The sequence below is a fragment of the Homo sapiens genome, chromosome 8 (assembly GCF_000001405.40).
Source record: "Homo sapiens chromosome 8, GRCh38.p14 Primary Assembly".
Classification (NCBI taxonomy): Eukaryota; Metazoa; Chordata; class Mammalia; order Primates; family Hominidae; genus Homo; species Homo sapiens.
In genome coordinates, this window is record NC_000008.11 from 130,042,907 (window position 1) to 130,046,036 (window position 3,130).

At 43.7% G+C, this 3,130-nt stretch overlaps 1 annotated feature.

Moving 5' to 3' along the window:
- Positions 3,081 to 3,130: an enhancer, noted in NCBI's record as "active region_27979". NCBI's record gives its function as "activates an Ori minimal core promoter by ATAC-STARR-seq in GM12878 lymphoblastoid cells {active_cell/tissue: GM12878}" and the evidence as "EXISTENCE:reporter gene assay evidence [ECO:0000049][PMID:35858748]".

Below are 3,130 nucleotides of genomic sequence, written 5' to 3' on the forward strand. Positions count from 1 at the left end.
AATCATTTCTGCTTGTCTCTGCTTTAGTAATAATAAAAGCAAAAGCAGGGATATTTTGCCCTTTCTCCCTCTCCATTGCCCTAAAAGAGCAGTTTCAGGCTTCCTCTACTAAAAGCATATGATCATTGACCAGTTATGATCAAAAAAGTGAAAAGAAAAAAAGCAGTTATAAGCCATTAAGAATGCTCTGGGTCAGGTACAGTGGCTCATGCCTGTAATCCCAGCACTTTGGGAGGGATTTCTCTTCTTGGGAAGCTGCCCAAAGTGCTGGGAAAATGGTGTCACCACTTTGGAAAACAGTCTGGCAGTTCCTCAGAAGGTTACACATAGAATTATCTATAACCCAGCAATTCCACTCCTAAAATGTATATATAAGAAATGAAAACCAGCAGGGCGCAGTGACTCACACCTGTAATCCCAGCACTTGGAGAGGCCCAGGCAGGCAGATCACCTGAGGTCAGGAGTTTGAGACCAGCCTGGTCAACATGGCAAAACCCCGTCTCTACTAAAAATACAAAAATTAGCTGGGAGTGGTGGTGCACGCCTGTAATCCCAGCTACTTGGGAGGCTGAGGCAGGAGAATCGCCTGAACCCGGGAGGCAGAGAGGTTGCAGTGAGCTGAGACTGCGCCACTGCACTCCAGCCTGAGCGACAGAGTGAGACTCCATTGCAAAAAAAAAAAAAAAAGGAATGAAAACCAACATCCATACAAAAAATATGTACACAAACTTCATAGCAGCATTATTCATAATAGTCAAAAAAGGTGGAAACAACCCAAATATCCATCAACGGAAAAACAAAATGTAGTATATGCATACAACGAAATACTATTTGGTACTAAAAAGAAATGAAATACTGTCCCATAATTTGAGGGAGAAAAAAAAAGAAATGAAATATTGATATATGCTACAACATGGAAAAACCTCAAAAACATGGTAAGTGAAAGAAGCTGGTCACAGAGGCCCACCTATCATATGATTCCATTTCTATGAAACGTCCAAAAGAGACGAATCTACAGAAACAGGAAGGAGATTAGTGGTTGTCAGGGGTTGGGGAAGATGGGGAGTGAGATGGGTAGGGGTCTTATTTTTGGGGTGATGAAAATGTTCTAAAATTATGGTGATGATTGCACAATTCTGCAAATATACCAAAAACCATTAAAATGTACACTTTAGGCCTGGTGTGGTGACTCACGCCTGTAATCCCAGCACTTTTGGAGGCTGAGGTGGGAGGATCCCTTGAGCCCAGGAGTTTGAGACCAGCATGGGCAACATAATGAGACCCCGTATCTACAAAAAATTTAAAAATTAGCCTCGTGTGGTGGTGCATGCCTATAATCCCAGCTACTGGGGAGGCTGAGGTGGGAGGATCGTTGGAGCCTAGGAGGTTGAGGCTGCAGTGAGCAGTGATCATGCCACTGTACTCCAGCCTGGGAGAGAGAGAGACCCTGTCTCAAAAATAAACAAACAAAAGGTACACTTTAAATGAGTAAATGTATGATATATGAATTCTATCTCAATAAAGGTAAGTTTTTTTTTTTTTGAAGAGTAAAGAGAGGTGGGGAAGTAGGTGATGGGTGTGCTAGCAGGATACCAAGCAAGAAGGAACTTACCCCGTCCAGCATTCAGTTTCACCTCTCATTTTAGAAGACTTTACTTTTCAAAAGATCTCTTTGTTGAAGTATAACCAATGGTCTCCTGGAGCTGGCTCAACTGAGCTTGCAAGAACCAATCATATGTCTCTTTGCCCAACTCAGAATTGACACCACATTCGTAGCATGTAATCAACCATGGTAGAAATATTTACACCACAGGAATTGACAAATGCTACAATTAAGGGCTTTTTAATTAAAACAAATTTTTTTTTTTGCGAGTTAAACATTTACCAGCTTATCTGTGGGGATAACACGCATAGAGAAAAGCGCATGTATTAGAAATGAATGGCTTGATGAATTTTCACAAACTGAACCGACCTTTGTGACCAGCACCCAAAGAAAGAAAGAGAACAGTGTCTTCACCCCCAAACCCTTCCTCCAGCGTCCTCTTCTAGTGGTTACCCAAAGGTAACAACTGTTCTTTTTTTTTTTTTTTTTTTTTTAAGATGGAGTTTTACTCTTATGCATTGGTGCAACTTCAGCTCACTGCAACCTCTGCCTCCTGGGTTCAAGCAATTCTCCTGCCTCAGTCTCCCCAGTAGCTGGGATTACAGGCGCCTGCCACCATGCCCAGCTAATTTTTTGTATTTTTGGTAGAGACGGGGTTTCACCATGTTGGCCAGGCTGGTCTCGAACTCCTAACCTCAGGTGATCCAGCCGCCTCGGCCTCCCAAAGTGCTGGGATTACAGGTGTGAGCTACTGCGCCCGGTCTGTTCTGACTTGTAATTGCACAGATTGCTTATTTTTCCACATTAAGTGGAATCAAAGAGTGAATTCTGTTGAGTCTGGCTTCTTACACGCAATGTTATGAAATTCATCCAGGTCACTGCATGTGGTTATAGAGTGCTCATTCTCATTACTGAATACATTGTGTGAATAGTCCCCAATTTATATGTATTTATATATTTCACTGTGGGTGGATATTTGGGTAACCTGCAGGTTTTACTGTTGCAAACAGGACTGCTACGGACATTCTAGTGCATGTCTTTGGCCAATGTATGTCACATTTCCACTCAAGAATCTATGGGTCACAGAACACGAGTATGTCCAGCTTGAGTAGATATGTAGCCGACTTCACTTTGACTCTATTCCTGTTCTCTGCCTCCTATCCCATGCCCTTAACTTCCCTTTCCTTGCAAGCAAGCAGGGTCACCACCCTGGCATCTTCCACTCTGGGGCAGACCAGACAGGGCCTGGGTTTTGCGTGGGAAAGTAAACCCCAGGCCACTGGGACTAGTTGGTGGGTAACCCTGGAGGCACCGCTGTTCCTTCATCTTCAGAGCTCACTTAGGGTGGCAGAGCCATAAAAGGAGCTTCAGATAGGGAAGTAGCTGGTAACCGGAGGTGGAGCCAGCCAGGGTAGTCTCGGTGTCTGACGTTTCTAAGTGCTTCCAGCTGAGCAGGAACCAGGCTTGCACATTCAGACAATGTATTCCTGTGAATCTGTTCAGCGGCTTAATGCACCATAAAAAGAG